Here is a 19,422-nt window from a genome sequence, read left to right as displayed (position 1 = left end):
ATACATAGTCTGTAATTTCCCTTTTGAATTGCCCTTTGGCCTAATTTACTTATAATATTTAAAATATATAGATATATATTTTCCAAATGGCTGGGTGTTTTATATGTTTCTTCCTTTATTAGGTATTTTAGTTGTTTTGTTGCATAGTAGTTAGATTGTTAGATATATTAGCATAAGGAATTTATTAGAATTTTCTTGGTGACATTGATATGTAGTGGCTTTTTACAACTGTTCCGTGGACAGGTTAGGAAGATTTTCAAGTATCTTCTAGATCATCAGTATTAGTAGTACTTAGTGCTTTTTCATCCTTAGTCTCCGAAATTTTTTTTGACCACAGACCCTCTTCAGTAAAAATTTGAAAACTCACACTGCACCAATGCCTGCCCTAGTAAAACCCCAATCCTGGTTAGATCTCACTCTTTGCCCATTTCATAGCTATATTATGTCTATTCCTCAGTAGCAGAACACAACTGGAGAAAAATAAGCAGACTAATCTTACTTTCTTACTTCACTAAGAATCTCAAATACCCTTGGCGCTGCCCAGCAATCCTAGAACATTCCCTAGTGTACCCATTCTCCCGTGGTACTTAATGATTATTTAAACCTTTTCCTCTCTTCAGACTTTTTGCACTTCTTCCCTTTTCCAGCTTCATTCCTAGTTCACTCATTCTCCAGATTCACTTCATCTTGTTGCACTGAGAAAAAAGAAGTAATCGGAAGAGTACTTTCACACGCTACCAGAGCACCGACATACATTATTGGTTAATTTTTATCAGCACAGAAAAATGTTATAATTTCCCCCATCTTAAACAAACAAAAAAAGCTTTCAACTATATTTTTCTGCTCTCATTCAGCATAAAACTTCTCAAAAGAGGTTACATTTCCTCTCCTTCCATTCTCTTTAGAACCCACTTGAATCATGCTTTCATCCTCAGCACTCTACAAGAAATTACTCTTGTTAAGGTTGCTACTAACCTCCATTGTTGCCAAATACATTGGTCAATTCTCCATCTCCATCTTTCTCTGGATATCAGCTCTCAGTGGCCCTGAACTGAACCAGCACACTGCCACTTCCAGAATTTTGCATGTGCTGTTTTCTAGCTCTCTCATTTTCCTCAGATCTCTACTCACATATCATATTTTCAGAGAGATTTTCTCTGACCATCCCATAAAAAGGGGCTATGGACTGAATTGCCCTCTTCCCACCCACCCCCCGCCCAATTTATATGTTGAAGCCCTGACTCCCAATGCCCAGTGTGATGGTATTTGGAGATGGGACCTTTGGGAGTTAATTAGGTTTAGACTAAGTCATGAGAGTAGAGTTTCATGATGGGATTAGTGTTTTGTAAGAACAGGAAGAACCTCTAGAGATCTCTGCCATGTGAGGACATAGGGAGAAGACAGCTATCTGTAAGCCAGGAAGAGAGCCCTCACCAGAACCAGAGTGTGCTGGCACCCTGATGTTGAACCTCTAGCCTTCAGAACCGGGAGAAATATATTTCTGTTGTTTAAGCCACCTATTCTATGGTATTTTGTTATGGCAGCCCCAGCAGACTGACAAAAGGAACAGTGTACTTCCCATATATCAATCCTTTTCTAAATCCTTACTCTACTATATTATTCATGGCACTTATCATCCGTGATCTTTTATATGTTGTTTTTTTTTCTGTCTTCCTCTACTTGAGGAGAAAGCTCCAGGAGACAAGAGCTTCATCTATTATGTTCACTGCAGTATCTCCGGTACCCTGAACAGAGTGTAATAATAGTAGATGCTCAATAAATATATTTTATATAAACAAATAATGAAAATATCTTTAGTATGTGATTCTGTTCAGAAATTTCATAATAACCACCTTTAATTACTTTAATTACTTTGCTTAGAGCGAACCAGTGAACCTTTGGGTAGGATAAAGGATTTTGACATTCATTCTGCATCTCAACTCAAAGTATTGTAAAGATTTCGACTACTGATGGTATAATTTTAATTGACCATAGCCAAGACATTTCCCTCTACCAAGTGCAATAAATTGTAGTGTCCTCAATAGTATTAGTAGTAGTAGTACCAGAGTCATTCATTGCACTTACTGCATGCCAGATACTGTTCTAAACCCTAATATATGTATTATCTGATGTATTCCTTTCTTCACAGTCTACCCATGGGATAGTTTCTGTTACCCTGTTCACTTTATAGTTGGGGACACTGAAGCACAGAGATTAGGTAACTTGTCTAGGGTCACAGTTACAAAGTGAAAAGTACCAGGAAAGCAATCTCCTCTGTGCATGCACTATCTGGAAAAGGAAAGTATTGGGAAAGTTTTATATTTCTTCCATTCTGGTCTTTATCTGGAAGAAACTTCTCGAGTTTTGTTATGTATAGTTGCTAGGCTCCCTAATTTTAAGGCTGATAAAGATATTTTACTTTTGCTTGGCCATGTCAATTTCTGAACAGAATCACATATTAAAAGATAATGGACTTATCATACTTGGTTTACAAACGTGAACCCTCATTATCTTAAGTCCACAATTTATAAAACCATAGTTGATAAGAGATTACTTTATCTTCTTTCAAAAATTTTAAAAACACATGAAGGGCCAAGGACACTCAGTTATTTACATATTAGTGTGAATCAGATTGCTTACCTCTTGATCATTAGCTAAGAGGGACTTTAAAGAATTTTGTTTGGCAAAGAGTAGAGGTAAAGTAGTTTTGAACCTTAAAGAGTAGGGAATATTAAGTGAGGTGCTGTACTTGTTGGAAGGAGAAAATTCTAGAGAGAGATGCTAAGAAGTTGAGAAGATTTCAGAAATAAAGTGAAAATATGTCAAAGACCAACTTTATGCTTTCAGAATTTTGCGTAATACTGGTACTTGTAGAAAGAGGACAAAATTTTCTTAAATATGTCCCTTCTGATTCCTGCATAAACTGAGTATGTCCAGGTGCATATGGGTTAAAGAGGTTTTTGTAGATTACTTGGGAACCTAACCACCATTTAGGACAGTGTTTCTATGGGAAGATGGATTTGTTTAGGATGTTGTACCCTAAACAGACTTTTAGGATACAACGTATTTATGAATTGGGAGATTCTATATCTTCTTTTATTTTTAACTTTTTGGATAAAGAGTCTCACTGTGTCACCCAAGCTGGAGTGCAGTGGTGCCATCGTAGCACACTGCATCCTTGAACTGAGCTCAAGCGATCCTCTTACCTCAGACTCCTAAGTAGCTGGGACTACAGATGCGTGCCACCATGCCTGGCTATTTTATTTATTTATTTTATTTTATTTTATTTTATTTATTTATTTATTTATTTATTTATTTATTTATTTATTTGGTAGAGATGAGGTCTTGCTTTGTTAACCAGGCTGGTTCTGAACTCCTGGCCTCAAGCAGTCTTTCCATCACAGCCTCCCAGAACACGAGGATTACAGGCATGAGCTGCCATACCCAGCCTATATTTTAGTTTTGAATGTGACTTTTTTGTGATCACAAATTTTCAATGACACAAAACTGTCCGTCATCCCCCAAAACTCTTTCATCAAGCTTGTTTTCTCTGGGAACAGAAAACTAGTATTACAGATGAATACTGAGCAAAATTTGGCACCTCTACCTGATTTATTATGGGCTATTTAGGAAGATAATATTTCCTACTATGTAAAGGACTTTGTGTTGATCTTTTGGCCTTTATGTAATTTATGTTTATGTTTCTGGCAATGCCCTGATGGTTAATGTCCTTATGGTAATTAAAACATGTATATTAATTAAGTGTGCTACTAGTAATAAAAGTTAGTTACATATAGGAAAGAGGTCAGTTTTGTCAGGATGCTGAAGCAAAGTTGCGATGGGAGTTTTATTTCATTGGGAGTTGCTACTGTTCTTCCTGCAATTGGTGACAGACTATACAGAGATCATGGATTCATGTAGAGACTGGGGATCGCAAAGATGCTAAATATATATTCACTTATACTCTATTTGACATGTTGTTTGGAAAAATAGTTAACTACATAGACAAATTTCTCATTTTATAAGGATGTGTATCTTCTAAGCAACCTACAGATGGGTATACAACTGGGCCTCAAGAACTACAACTCAGACACCAATAAAATAAAAATTTTATTCACTATTTCTGATCTCCACTTCTCTCTACATAGGCTTAATTTTTCTCTCCTTGTTGAGCTATGCTTTATACTTAGAGGGTTACATGCCACCAGTAGTTCCCAAGTTAGCTTCATCACCTTGAGAGAGGCAGGCCCAGCTCACTGGATTACCAATCTTAAGTCTCAGGAAATGGCCTCTGTTTGATTCAGCTGTGTCTAGTGTCCAGGCCTGGACTTGGCACCATCGCTAGAAGGCAGGATCCTGTTACACCTCTCTCACATAGAGGCTTCTAGGCAACCTTGCGGAGATGGAGGCAAGAGGAGGCAGACAGTGCCTTAGCTCCTTACTAGATTAGACCCTCTATTCATTCATCCACTCAACATTTATATTCATAATATGCCATATATATGCTAGGTTGATCTTGAGACTGTCGGTATTTTATTTCAAAAATGACTTTTGTCATCTAAATTTTCTTTAAAAAGCTACAGAGCATACTGTACAGTTATCTTAGACTTACAGGAAAATGCCTAATGAAAAAGTAAATAGAAAACCTCACTAAAGTTCACAGAATGACAGAGAGAAAGTAAAGTGTACTTCCAGTCAAGCTCTTTCAGTTAAAAAACATCCTCACTAAACCTGTAAAACATTTCAATAAAAACGGTTCTTTGAATGTTATTTTAAATACTATATTACTTAAGCAAATATTTAAATACTATATTAGTTTCTCTGCATTCTTTACTTGAATTTAATTCTACCTGTCTGCCAAGTATGTCAAAACCCCAAGTCCATTTTCATTTGCCAGGTTAAATGTTTATTTTGTTTTCCCACATAATATGCTCTTTGAAGTGTCATAAGCATACCAAGCCTGATTTCTTTTTAATAGGGACATGGTAGGGGATTTTTTTTCTTTCTTTCTTTCTTCAGTTAATGGGATAGGATATGCTTTTCTCAAAGAATATGTAAAGGTATGTTCACATTCCTTGCCTACTGAAGGTACACACTGCCTTCATTAGCTATTAGAAAATGAACTTTCACTTTCTTAAAATGTGTCCAATAAATTTAATGTAAATTTTTGAAGGCTCACTTTATCTCCTTATTATCAGAAAACCAAAGACTTTCTTGTAATCTAGAATGTCCACTTTTACCTAACAAGTCACCCTGTATAGACTAATATAGTGGAAAAGTATGAGGCTATGGTGATCTACAAATAACTGACATTATTTGATTTGGGAGTTTACATTTGCTTCTGCTCATCTATGCTTATGTGACTCAAACATCCATTTAGAATTTTTTACACTTATTTTCAAAGAGCATTGACATACATTTGAATACCATAATCTCTTAGATATACTTCTCTCAAAAACAACTATTGATAATAGCTTTCAACATATATTTTATCTTAAAAAGACAGATTTAATATTTAGCCTCTATGTGAATCCCATGGTGATTGGTACCTTTTGCAAAGTTCTTTAGAACATCTTCTTAGATTTCTTGTGTTGGACCTAATTCACTATACGAGCATCTCTAGGAGGAACTATTTGAAGCCAGAGTAGTGGTGTTTTTCCTATCCTTTTATTTTCTTGACTTTAAGAAGTACCTGAATTATTTTTCCATTCTCTGTTATGAAAGTACAGATTCTTACGAATGCCATAGTCTGTCTTTCATTATCACTATCACAAGGCCTCTTCATTCTCTAAATCAGCAAAAAATTCTTCTGTGCAAGATAGAGGAGAGATAGGAGACTAATACAAAGTTGATACAGGAGAGTACATAGCTGTATCTTTGATACAAGTGAAGTGATTCTAACACACTCATAGTTTTGAAGTATCTGGATGTTTACCAGAAGTTAGGACCCTTATGGCTTCTTCCAGTGACATTTCTTCTATATAAAGAATCGGGCTGGGCATGGTGGCTCACGCCTGTAATCCCAGCGCTTCAGGAGGCCAGGAGATTGAGGTCAGGAGATGGAGGCCATCCTGGCTAACACGGTGAAACACTGTCTCTACTAAAAATACAAAAAATTAGCCAGACGTGGTGGCGGGCACTTGTAGTCCCAGCTACTCGGGAGGCTGAGGCAGGAAAATGGTGTGAACCCAGGAGGCAGAGCTTGCAGTGAGCTGATATTGTGCCACAGCACTCCAGCCTGGGCGACAGAGCGAGACTCCATCTCAAAAAAAAAGCCTGGGTGACAGAGTGAGACTGTCTCAAACAAACAAACAAACAAACAAAAAGAATCATTGCAAACAGCTTGAAATTTTCTCAGTGTGGATTTGGCCAGGTTGTCTTATCTCTTAAATCTTAGAACTATGAAATATTTCTTTGCTTTTTAAATTTCTTTTTCTTTTCTTTTGTTTTGCTTTGCTTTGTTTTAGACACAGGATCTCACTCTGTTGACCAGGCTGGAGCACAATAGTGAGATCATTGCTCACTGCAGTGTCAAACTCCTGTGCTCAAGCGATCCTCCCACTTTAGCCTCCCCAGTAGCTGGGACTACAGGCACGCACCATGGTCCCTAGCTAGTTTTGCTTTTTTTTTTTTTTTTCATGTCATGTAGAGATGGAGTTTCACCTCCCAAAGTGCTGAGATTACAGGCATGAGCTACCATGCCCAGCCAAAATGTTTCTAAGGCTTTCAGGAGTTCCCTGAGATAAGAGAATACACGTAGAACCACAGAATCTCAGAGCTATATTAAAGAAGAGAGAACTCAGTCACAGTGAGATGAAGCAACTTAACCTAGAGAGTCCCATCTTGTGTTAGAGGTAAAACTGAGACCTAGAGTCCAGATCTTCTGATTCCCAGGTAAACATTCCTATTACCACTCACGCTAATCTTTTTCTAATGGTATAAAATGTTTCTCAATATTATAGAAGAATATTTCAAAATATTTGGGTTATGATTAAAACTCATTTGCCACTGAGTTACAACACTTAAGCACTGTTGATATACAGAATGTATTGGGATTGGGTTGGAATCGTATTTACCCTATGATGTACCCAGTCCATTCCTTTTCAAATATATCTTAAATGTCATTTGCTTTATTCATATCTCTCTCATCAAAATAAAACGACAAAAATGTAATTTCATGCTTTTTGTTAACAAGTGAAGCAATATTTTCCAGGTATATGACTTCTTCATTAAAATCCATCCTTCATTTATTTATACCCAGCTCTGCAAATATTCTCTGTTACTTTCAAGTTCCTTGTTCTTGGAATCACTTTACCCCTCATATCCTGTAGTGTATTTCTCCCTAAGATGAAGTTTGAGATGGATAGCAGCTATAGCTGGGCTTCCAGTAAAGAGTTAGAGTAGAACATGTCAGTAGCAGTGATCCATCCCACCAGCTGGCATTTACGCAAAACGGCAAAGCATTTAAGTAGGCATTGGAGTGAATCATTTGTCAAACCCCTTTTCCTGTCACTTGCCTTCCTTGAGGAGTTGTTATGCTAACTCTAAGGTATGAATAGATTAAATGCCACTAAATCTACTTCTTCAGACGTGCGCTTCTTAATCTTTTTGGAATTAGGACAGTTATTAGACATGGTTATTTGACTTAACTTTGCCTTCTCCTTATCCTCTGAAAGTACTCTAGTGAAGTTTAAAGCTACATAAATTGCATTTAAAAAAATGTTTGTAAGTGATGTGAAGGAAGAGAATCCTCATTCTTAAACTTATTAGAGGTTCCTATGACTGCTAAAAATCAGTTCTGGAAATGATTATGATGGGTCACATAGATGTAATGAATTTTTAACCTCAGTCATATACCACCATGTAGACACAACTACTTGCCACTCAGTATCCATGTTCTCCTTCCTTTGTAACAAAACTGATTTGTAGCTGGGTATTTTAACATCTAGACCAAACAAGAAGAAAGAAAGAAAATCTGCATTTCTCTTACCCTCAGCCACGTTTGGTCACACGACTGAGTTGTGGCCAATGAAATGTAAGCATTCTATGGGAATCCTTAGTACAATAAGCCCTCACGTAACATCATTGTACAGCAGGCCCTCAACTTCCTTTCCTTCACTGTCATTTTGTTATAACATTGATGAGGGACAAAGAAAAAAATGATTTTGTTATATGTTGTTTCACATAAATTTTCAGTTTCCGAGAACTTATCAATGAGATGAAGTGAGGACTTACTGTCATTTTTTCTTTTTTTTTTTTTTAGAGAAAGGGTACACTCCCTACCCTTTCTGCATTTGTCTATTTTATGCAGATTCAAGGCTGGAGCTTTAGAAGCCAAGACATTCTGAATCACAAAATGTCAGAGCAGATACTGGAGGAGATTGAGGCCCTGGAGACTTCAGTCAGTGTTTGTGTAAAGCCTGAATACCTATCTCCAGAATTCATTTATGTGAGGAAAAATAAACTTTGATCTTGCCTAAGCAACTATAATTTTGGCTTATATATGTAGCCAGAAATAATCTTAACTAATAAAACGTGAATGAGCCCCCTGGATTGATAAGAACGTACTTCAAGAAAATAATTAGTGTCTTAAGGTAGACCTGGTCTACTATAAAAATTGTTTTAGTTAACAGTTTGGTAAATGGAAAGAACTTAATAATTCCAATCTGTTTGACAGTAATTGCGTTCTGTTTTACCTGATGCTTGAAGAAATCCAGGTTATCTCATAGTCTTATTTCTAATTTGTGCCAATGAAATGAACTCGTAAGTTCATAAGATGTAAAACGAACTTTTTTTGTCCCATGTCATGAGAGCAGATAATTCTTGGCTGTCACACAAACTCATCACCTTTTAATGGGTCAAGGAGGCTGTAGAGATTACTCATCCTAGCTTTTGTGTGGGCTTTCACTGTCAATTCCAAAGCTCCACTTAACCTTTTACATAGAACATTGATTTCCCCCCCCCACACACACTTTGTTCATTCTTTCACAGATAATTGATAAAAACTGAGTTTACTTTTTGTATTGAAAGAGTATTTTGTCATGGTTTATGATTTTCAAAGAACAATCATAACCATAGGCCAAGTGTTAATATCTTAACATGTTTTAGCCTAAGACTCATACTAATTTGAAGAATTTTGTTCATTGAAACCTATCAACCTATCAAATGGTTGAAGAAATCATTCAGTATTTATTAGTATGTTTCTTGTCTCTTAAATTCTGAAAGAAAATGGGAGGATTTGATTTTAGGCTTTTTTGTTAATCAAAATATTCGTTCTGCGACTTGAGAAATTAAAATACTGTGCTACAGAAAAATAAGTACCATCTGGGCTGTGTGTTTTTCTACCTCTAAAGAACATTATGCAAAGGAGGGTATGCAAAGTAACAAGGCGTGTTCATTTAACTATATGGGATACCTGGTGTGGTACAATAGGAGTATTACTTAAGAATTGTATAAAATCCAATTTAGTTTATCATGTTGTAAATGTACCTAAAAGGCACCAATAGAAAAGAATATTAACAGGATTGCTTTTGTGCTTTGAAGAATATTAATTTATTATTTTGGCAAGGACATATTTTCATTGTGTGGATTTCTGTTACTTATTTCAATGTTGTCCATGTTTTGTTTTGTTTCTAATCTGCATACAACGTTTGGGCAATCTGGTCATGAAACCTGTTGCCCCAGTGATTATAGGGTTTTTAGCCTGTTCTGACAGACCAAACTCTCTCCCTACTTTCACCCTCACCCTAGTCCTCCCATGTGGATCCTTCATGTTGCTTCTTACTCAATAGAATAACTATTATTCTATTACTTAGAACGAATAGAAAGGAAGGATGACCTTCCCAGACAGATGAGACCATGCTATGTCACAACACTGTGTTCCCACTTAAAGCCTACAAACTAATGAAACATACACAGTATGCATATTCTCATTGTTTAGCAAATCTATCTCTTCCCTCTGCATCATTTTCTTTATTATAGAATGACAGTTTTTATCTTTTACCAAACTGTTTGTAGTATACTTGTCTTTTTTCTGATACTCTCTTTAGATTGTATGGTATTATGACCAGAGCATGGGCTTTGGGGTCATATAGACCTACATATTAAAATCACAGTTCCATTCTTTATCCAAGGTATGTTACTAACCTGGACAAATTACTACATGTTTCTGAGTCTCAGATTCCTTTATCTGGACCTGCATCTTAGAAGTGTTGGGAAGGATTTGTGATAACATATGTAATATACCTGGCTCAGTTCAGCACATGGGTGTTTAAGAAATGGTAGCTGTCATTGACAGAATCTTCTTTATGAAAATATATAATATAGCAATATTCCTATGGAATTTACTTTAGAAATAATCTTCCCTTCATAGTGACTAGAATCAGAATCAAAGGATTTGCAGCATGCATAACATCAAGTTAGTGGAATATGTAATATTTACTACTACCACCGAGTAAAATGACTCAGAAAATGTAGTCTGAATATTCAGTAGGCACTATGATAATTCCATGACATTCGTCCACTTATATTTCATTAAGCAATGTATTCATTTTAGAATACATTTCTAGATCTTATGAAAACTGCATGTAGCGCAATCTGAGGGTTTCAATTCTATAAAACAAAACCAGTTTCTTATCAGGGCCACTACAGAGCATTTCACGTAGAATTTTTTAGATTATTGCAAATTTTATACATCTCTAAAGTTGTAACATGTAGTAGTAATGTCAAGTGAACTGCATAATTTTACTTGATCAGATAGAAAATTTTATATCTGAATAAGGAGTTTTGTGTAGAAGTCAGTAGTATAGTAGAAAGAGCACTGATTTTGGAATAGGAATCTTAAACTCTTTCTAGCAATATATTTTACCTTGGTGAAAAACCACAAAACTCTCATCCAAGTACTAAACAAACCTGACCCAGTTTAGCTTGTGAGATCAGATAAGATGCATGTAGGGTGGCAAGGTGGGGTGAAGAGTATACAGGAACTCTCTGTACTATTTTTGAAGTTTTTCTGCAAATCTAAAATTAGTTCAAAAATTTTTTTTAAAAAGTATTTTTAAAAAATCCAGAGAATCAGTAAGTTTCAGTTTCTTCTATAAATGGAAATGTAATAATAGCTTATCTTTCTCCCTGACACAGCTGTTGAGTGGATAAACATGTAAATAAGGCAGTATACATAAAACTTTAAAATACTGCTGTTCTATGCTGTGATTCTTCCTTACTTGACTTTACCCATTTTACTGATCTTCCCTTCCTCTTGCTGCCAAAATAGTCCTTTGCTTCTTTAAAGCTTTTGTGGTTACTTTATTTAAGGTGAAACACTGCCTCACATCACCAAGTTGCAAAAACAATTCTCCTTTCATCATCTTTCTTTGTAATCATTCCACACCCTCTGTGGCTTGCCTTCTTTAAGCTTCTTGCTTATGAACTAGGCCTGGTGGCCACTGACATTTAATCAAATAACAGTTATAATACATTTACTCATGAGTAAAGCCTGAATAAAATGTGGGCACTGACATCTAAGAGAGTGGAAATTTCATCATCAAATATCTTAACAGAAACCATTTTGTTAAATAACCATAATTACAGGTTTTGCACTTATGATTGCAGAGGATTTTGCTCTTCTGCATTCTTAGAAGCTCAAGGGACAGCCATTGTGTTCAGGCTACTTGAAATACCTATACTGAATCTAAGTATAGCCAAGCCTTCTTCAAGAGAAAAGTCCCTGCAAGACTTTATAATTCAAAGATTTTCACACCCACAATTATTTTAAAGATTATTTCTGTTTTTAAAAAATATTTTTAGTTTAGGTAAGTAGACTTTTCAGATAAGAATTCAAAATATGGCCGGGCGCAGTGCCTCATGCCTGTAATCCTAGCACTTTGGGAGGCTGAAGCGGGCAGATCACTTGAGGTCAGGAGTTTGAAACCAGCCTAGCCAACATGGTGAAACCCCGTCTCTACTAAAAATACAAAAAATTAGCCAGGCATGGTTGTGGTCACCTGTATTCCCAGCTATTCGGGACGCTGAGGCAGGAGAATCTCTCGAGCCCTGGAGGCAGAGATTGCAGTGAGCCAAGATTGCGCCACTGCACTCCAGCCTGGGCAACAGAGTGAGACTCTGTCTCAAGAAAAAAAAAAAAGACATTAATTTTCCAAATGTGTAGACATTTCTGCTTTTTCTTAAGTATTTAGGAATTTACGTTTACTACATCTGAAGCAAAGCATTTTTGATTGTTATGATTATTCTTGTATCTTCGTGATAGTCATACTTGGTAAAGACTATCATTTTCTCCTTTTCTTAGTGACTAAATCTTGGCATTCTCAGGAAAAAAATTTTCTTCCTTTTGTTTTATGTTAACTCATGCTTCTAGCTTAGATCAGTCTCTGTGACAGATTTCTATTGATGGACTTGCTCATTTCTGATTCGTGAAAACAACTCAGCCAATTACAAGAAAGGAAACTTTAGCATTAAGATGATTAAGAACGTTCCATTTAGAGGAATAAATAATTTAATTTTGTTTGTTTTGTTTCTAATCTTAACTCAAATGCTATCCAGTTATAAAAGCCTATTTTTCCTCGAGAATTTTTCCCACACTGGTGGCATTGTTTCCTTACTGGAGCATGACATACTCAGCATGAGTTTGCTTTTTTCATATTTTCTTTTTTTTAATAATGAGCTCATCATTTTACTTACTCTGCTTATCAAAAATCAGAAGTAATTTGATGTTTATATTATTAATAGGACTCTTTCCAAGTATATTGACATTTCAATTTTTTTCCCAATAGTGTTTGAGGAACAGGTGGTTTTTGGTTACGTGTATAAGTTCTTTAGTGGTGATTTCTAAGATTTTGGTGCACTGTAACCCGAGCAGTGTACACTGTACCCAAGTGTAGTCTTTTATCCCTCACCCCCTCCCACCCTTCCCACCAAGTCTCCAAAGTTCCTTATATCATTCTTATGCCTTTGCATCTTCATAGCTTAGTTCTTACTTATAAGTGAGAACATAAGATAATTAGTTTTTCATTCCTGAGATAATTCACTTAGAATAATGATCTCCAACTCCATCCAGCTTGCTGCAGATGCCATTATTTCATTCCTTTTTATGGCTGAGTAGTATTCCATGGTATATATATACCACATTTTCTTTATTCAGTTGTTGGTTGATGGGCATTTAGGCCCAACTTAGTTCGTTAGTTAGAATACTTATGGTTTTCTATATAAAGAGTCAACTTTTAAAATATTTATAAACTGGGAGAGTGAAACTAAGAAGATAAATTACAGATAGTAAAAGCTATAAACTGGTCGTCTTTTTTGTTTGTTTGTTTGTTTGTTTGAGATGGAGTCTTGCTGTGTCACCCAGGCTGGAGTGCAGTGGCCCGATCTCTGCTCACTGCACCCTCCGCCTCCTGGGTTCAAGTGATTCCCCTGCCTCAACCTCCCGACTAGCTAGGATTACAGGCACCCACCACCATGCCCAGCTAATTTTTGTATTTTTAGTAGAGACGGGGTCTTACCATATTGGTCAGGCTGGTCTCGAACTCCTGACCTCAGGTGATCCACCTGCCTCGGCCTCCCAATAAACTGGTCATCTTAATACATCATTGAGCCAGTTATCTCTGCTACTCATTAACATTTCTGGCAGCAGTAGGGTAGCTTTCACATAGGGTATAGAATTTTTATCAGAGGTGAAGAGAGGTCTTATTGTATTGACTCAGGGAAGTTAAATATAGCAACATTTGTTCTAGTCTGTTTTAGGAGCAGTTTTTCCTAAGTGCTTTATAGATAGCCTGTCATTTTTGCAACAGACCATGATGTCAGGACCAAGGAGGGTTTTGATAGAAATGACACAGCATGATTTGCATTTTTAAAAGGTCACTTTGTCCGGTGTGTGGGGATTACTTTTTCCTTTGGTACCATGATCTTCCTGTGAAATGGCCTCTGTTTTGAAACCAGAAGCACAATGCTTACTCCTTGAAGGGACGGCAATGTGTATAGTACAGTAGTTTTCAAGTTGTGTTTTGCAGTTTTTGGTATTTCATTGAGAAGTACTTTGCAGAGGAGAAAGAATATTGGAGGACTGTGAGTCTTCTTCCCTCACCTCTATCAAAGCATCTCTGGTTTCAGCACCTTCATTTATGAGGGTTCCATAAGGTATCTCTTAAATTACACAAACACAAACACACACAATTTATACACACACATTATACATATATGTGTGTATATAGTTATACAGACATATATATATTTATATATACAAACATGTATATATGAATATATATATACACAAATACATATTTTCAAATGTTCACATACACCTACCCCACCCAGCATATACACACGTAGCCAAACCCCTTTTGTAGTAAAAAGAGCATAAACTTTAGAGTAAGACAGATCTCATTTCAGATTGCAGCACACATTGCTTAGCAACCTTGGACAAGTTACCTAATATATGTGAGCCATAGCAGGAAGACTCATTAGGAGTCTGTTATAGCAATTGATACAGTTTGGCTGTGTCCCCACCCAAATCTCATCTGGAATTGTAGTTCCCATAATCCTCACGTGTCGTGGGAGGGACCTGGTGGAAGGTAATTGAATTATGGGGGCTGTTACCTCCATGCTGTTTTCATGGTAGTAAGTGAGTTCTCAGGAGATCTGATGGTTTTATAAGGGGCTTCTCCTCTTTGCTGCCACCATGTGAAGAAGGATGTATTTGCTTCCCCTTCTGCCATGATTGTAAGTTTCCTGAGACCTCCCCAGCCCTGCAGAACTGTGAGTCAATTAAACCATTTTCCTTTATAAATTACCCAATCTCTGGTATGTCTTTATTAGCAGTGTGAAAACAGATTAATATAGGAAATTGGTACCAGGTAGTGGTGTGCTGCTGTAAAAATACCTGAAAATGTGGAAGTGACTTTGGAAGTTGGTAACAGGCCAAGGTCGGAACAGTTTGGAGGCCTCAGAAGAAGACAGGAAAATATGGGAAAGTCTGAAACTTCCTAGAGACTTGGAGGGCTCAGGAGACATGAAGATGTAGGAAAGTTTGGAAATTCCTACAGACTTGTTGAATGGCTTTGACCAAAATGCTGACAGTAATGTAAACAATGAAGTCCAGGCTAAGGTGGTCCCAGATGGAGATGAGGAAGTTGTTGGGAACTAAAATAATGGTGACTCTTGCTGTGTTTTAGCAAAGAGACTGGCAGCATTTTTTCCCTGCCCTAGAGGTCTGTGGAACTTTGAACTGGGGAGAGATGATTTAGGGTATATAGCAGAAGAAATTTTTAAGCAACAAGTCATTCAAGAGGTTCCTTGGGTGCTGTAAAAAGTATTCAGTTTTATGTATTTACAGAGACACTTTGGAATTGGAACTTATGTTTAAAAGGGAACCAGAGCATAAAACTTTGGAAAATTTGCAGCCTCGTGATATGATAGAAAAGATAAACCTATTTTCTGAGAAGAAACTCAAGCCTGCTGCAGAAATTTGCATAAATAATGAGGAGCAAAATGTTAATTGCCAAAACAGGGGAAAATGTCTCCAAGGCATGTCAGAGGTCTTCACGGCAACCCCTCCCATCACAGGCCCAGAGGCGTAGGAGGAAAAAATGGTTTCATGAGTCAGGCCCAGGGCCTTGCTGCTTTGTGCAGTTTTGGGAATTGGTGCCCTGTGTCCCAGCATGGCTAAAAGAGTTGTGGCTTCAGAGGGTGCAAGTCCCAAGCCTTGGCAGCTTCCACATGGTGTTGAGTCTGTGGGAGCAAAGAAGTCTAGAATTGAGGTTTGGGAACCTCCACCTAGACTTCACAGGATGTATGGAAACACCTGGATGTCTAGGCAGGGGTGTGTTGCCGGGGCAGAGCCCTCCTGGAAAACCTCTACTAGGGCAGTGCAGAAAGGAAATGTGGGGTTGGAGCCACCACACAGGTCCCTACTGGGGCACTGCCTAGTAGAGCTGTAAAAGGGCCACCATTCTCCAGATCGCAGAATGGTAGATCCACTGACAGCTTGCACTGTGTTCCTGGAAAAGCCGCAGATACTCAACACCAGCCCATGAAAGCATCTGGGAGGGGAGCTGTGCCCTACAAAGCCACAGGGGCGTAGCTGACAAGAGGCCCTGGGACCCCACCTCTCTTGAATCCGTGCGACCTGGATATGAGACATGGAGTCAAAAGAGATCATTTTGGAGTTTTAAGATTTGACTGCCCCACTGGATTTTGGACTTATGTGGGGCCTGTAACCCCTTCATTTTGGCCAATTTCTCCCATTTAGAATGGGTATGTTTACCCAATGCCTGTACCACCATTGTATCTAGGAAGTAACTAACTTGTCTTTGATTTTACAGGCTTGTAAGTGGAAGGGACTGGTCTTGTCTCAGATGAGACTTTGGACTTGGACTTTTGGGTTAATGCTGGAATGAGTTAAGACTTTGGGGGATGTTGGCTGGGCGCAGTGGCTCATGCCTGTAATCCCAGCACTTTGGGAGGCCGAGGTGGACAGATCACAAGGTCAGGAGATAGAGACCATCCTGGCTAACATGGTGAAACCCCGTCTCTACTAAAAATACAAAAAAAATTAGCCGGGTGTGGTGGCAGGCGCCTGTTGTCCCAGCTACTCGGGATGCTGAGGCAGGAGAATGGCATGAACCCAGGAGGCGGAGCTTGCAGTGAGCCGAGATTGCACCACTGCACTCCAGCCTGGGCGACAGAGTGAGACTCCGTCTCAAGAAAAAACAAACAGGCAAAAAAGACTTTGGGGGATGTTGGGAAGGCATGATTGGTTTTGAAATGTGAGGACATGAGATCTGGGAGGAGCTGGGATGGAATTAATATGGTTTGGCTGTGTCCCCACTCAAATCTCATCTTGAATTGTAGTTCCCATAATCCCCATGTGTCATGGGAAGGACCCATTGGGAGGTCATTGAATCATGGGGGGCAGTTACCCCCATGCTTCTGTTCTCATCATAGTGAGTGAGTTCTCAGGAGATCTGATGTTTTTATAAGGGGCTTTTCCTCCTTTTGCTTGGCACTTCTCCTTCCTGCCATCACGTGAAGAAGGATGTGTTTGCTTCCCCTTCTGCCATGATTGTAAGTTTCCTGAGGCCTCCCCAGTTCTGTGGAAATGTGAGTCAGTTAAACTTCTTTCCTTTATAAATTACCCAGTCTCAGGCAGTCCTTTATAGCAGCATGAGAACAAACTAATAGAGCAATCCAGAGGAGAGTTGATGATGGTGGCTTGGACTAGAGTAGTATCAGTGACCCTAGAAGGTGATGAAAGTGGTTTATTTTAGTTGTATTTTAAAGATAGAGCTGATTGAAAATGCTTAGAGGGAATTAACTGATGACTTAATCTGCAATAAAAATTTTTATTTTCACATGTTTAGAAAAAGTCCTTACTGAAAAAACTAAGATAAATCACATAGTAGCAACAAAGGGAGATTGCAAGCAGGGCTCCTTTGTTCTTTACAGAATTCTGTGTATCCTTGGGGAGGATGGTGAGAGCCATGCTGCACTGACAGGCTTCCCTTTTCACAAGATTTTACCTTAAAGATGCTAGACTTTTATTCTATGTAAGTAAAGCCAGACTCCATAAAGTGTGCATATTTGACTACTTGAGAATTTGATCTTGCCTAAACCAAGATGGAAAGATCTGCAGTTCTAACTCAGGATTAAAGAGAAAGTATGAACTAAATTTTATGAATTAATGGCTTTATATATTTTTCAGGCAGTATTCTAAAGTTTTACCCAAAATGACCAAAATATTTAACCATATCCCTATATGCTTGCTGTACTGTAAAGCCTTTCAGCTCATCTAGATATTATGTAAACCTCTGAGAATTTTTAAGAATGTTATTCAAAATGCCTGAAGATTTTATACATATTAAACTAGCATGTTCACTTTTTTATATATAGCCAAATAAAAATCACCAAAAAAAAAAAAGGGTTGTAACATCCTTAATCAGGAAAACAAAAAGTCAAAGTCAGTGTTCTATTACTTAAAAGAAATAGTTTGGGCAGAAACTCACATGGCTTTTTATGTTATTTGCCAACCGAGTTATTCCAGAGCATATTTACAATTTTAAGGAAACATTAGCAAAAATTGGTACTAACACTAAACACTGGGATTTACAACTTGACAGGTAATTAGGTTGTATGGCACTAGGTTGTTTTAAAATGATACTTTTCTTAACACACATTTTATCCCAAGATGGGAAATATTTTATTACATATGGTTTTTTTCCCCATTACTGGCTTAATAAATTTAGATTAAAAATTTTTAATGGGCATTAAAACATTTTTAAATTTATTAGTTTGATTTTAATAACTACATTTTTCATTATATAACCAATTAATGCCCACTCTTGATAGTTTAAAATGTATGAAAAAGGTAAAGCTCCTATGATGACATTAATTAATATATTTAGACCCATAGGATATAGATAAAAAAAACTGAATTCAATATTTTGAAACAACTCTATTATGTCATAGTAGCACAAATATCTTTTTGTGTGTTTCTCAATCACTGATGCTTTGTACTTGCTGAGGATTACTCACTTTCAGCACAAAATTTCTTTTAAATCCTTTGAATCTTCTAGGGTCTACAGCTCTTTCTTTAGGAAACTTCATATAATTACTGTAAGACATTCTTAATACCTTGGACATGTAAAATTGGTATATTATGAATGCCACTCTGGGGAAACAAATTAGCACCACTGGAAACCTATTTTTTAAGGCTGTGATATAGAAAATATACTGCATTTCTATTCAAGTCGATGTAATTCAGTGAAAATTGCAGGTCAAACCTAAATGAACTTTTGGTTTCTACTTCATCAGTCAGGATTCTGAGTCGGTCCCTTAAATATTGCATGACGTTCTCCTTTGTGTGCGTATGTGTGTTTTTGTTTTTTGATTTTTTTTCTAAAAACATATATTCAAGCCTCTGCTGTTTCTCTGTGATTTTCTGCCTCTTGGGTAACTGCTTTGATTATTTTTATGTGTGCACAGTTAATGACTTCCTGTAAGTCAAGTAAAATTAACTCAAGAGGAAAGAAGATTTCTTTACTTTTGAAATGCTTTTTCTGTTTGTAATTCACTGTTAAAAAAAAAAATTACTGAAATGTGTCACTGAAAAGTTAAAGTTACCTATAATTTCACCTCCAGAGATAAATACTATCAAAAGTATAATGTATATGCTTCCAGACTTTCCGTGTATTTGCAGACATACACGTGCATATGTGTGTGTATGTTCAAACATAAATGGAATTAAGGTACATGCATTCTAGTATGCAACTTGATTTTTCCATTAATAATACATTCCTGCAGCTAATCTTTGAGGAGAGACAAAAGTAGCACACATGGGAAAGTGCAGGAAGGGGTATAATACTATCTAGAAGAACAAATAATTTCAGAAGAGAGAAATCAGTGTAAACT

General features: G+C 37.2%; 1 protein-coding gene across 29 annotated transcripts in view, besides 1 other annotated feature; it reads left to right on the top strand.

The window, feature by feature from the left end:
• Positions 1 to 19,422, top strand: part of SUPT3H (SPT3 homolog, SAGA and STAGA complex component) — a 568,878-nt gene that overhangs the window by 389,428 nt on the left and 160,028 nt on the right. The window lies entirely within an intron of this gene.
• Positions 15,488 to 15,688: a silencer, noted in NCBI's record as "peak5819 fragment used in MPRA reporter construct". NCBI's record gives its function as "represses an SCP1 promoter by STARR-seq MPRAs in K562 erythroleukemia cells {active_cell/tissue: K562}" and the evidence as "EXISTENCE:reporter gene assay evidence [ECO:0000049][PMID:32103011]".

The sequence above is a fragment of the Homo sapiens genome, chromosome 6 (assembly GCF_000001405.40).
Source record: "Homo sapiens chromosome 6, GRCh38.p14 Primary Assembly".
Lineage (NCBI taxonomy): Eukaryota > Metazoa > Chordata > Mammalia > Primates > Hominidae > Homo > Homo sapiens.
This window is presented reverse-complemented; position numbering and strand designations above follow the sequence as displayed.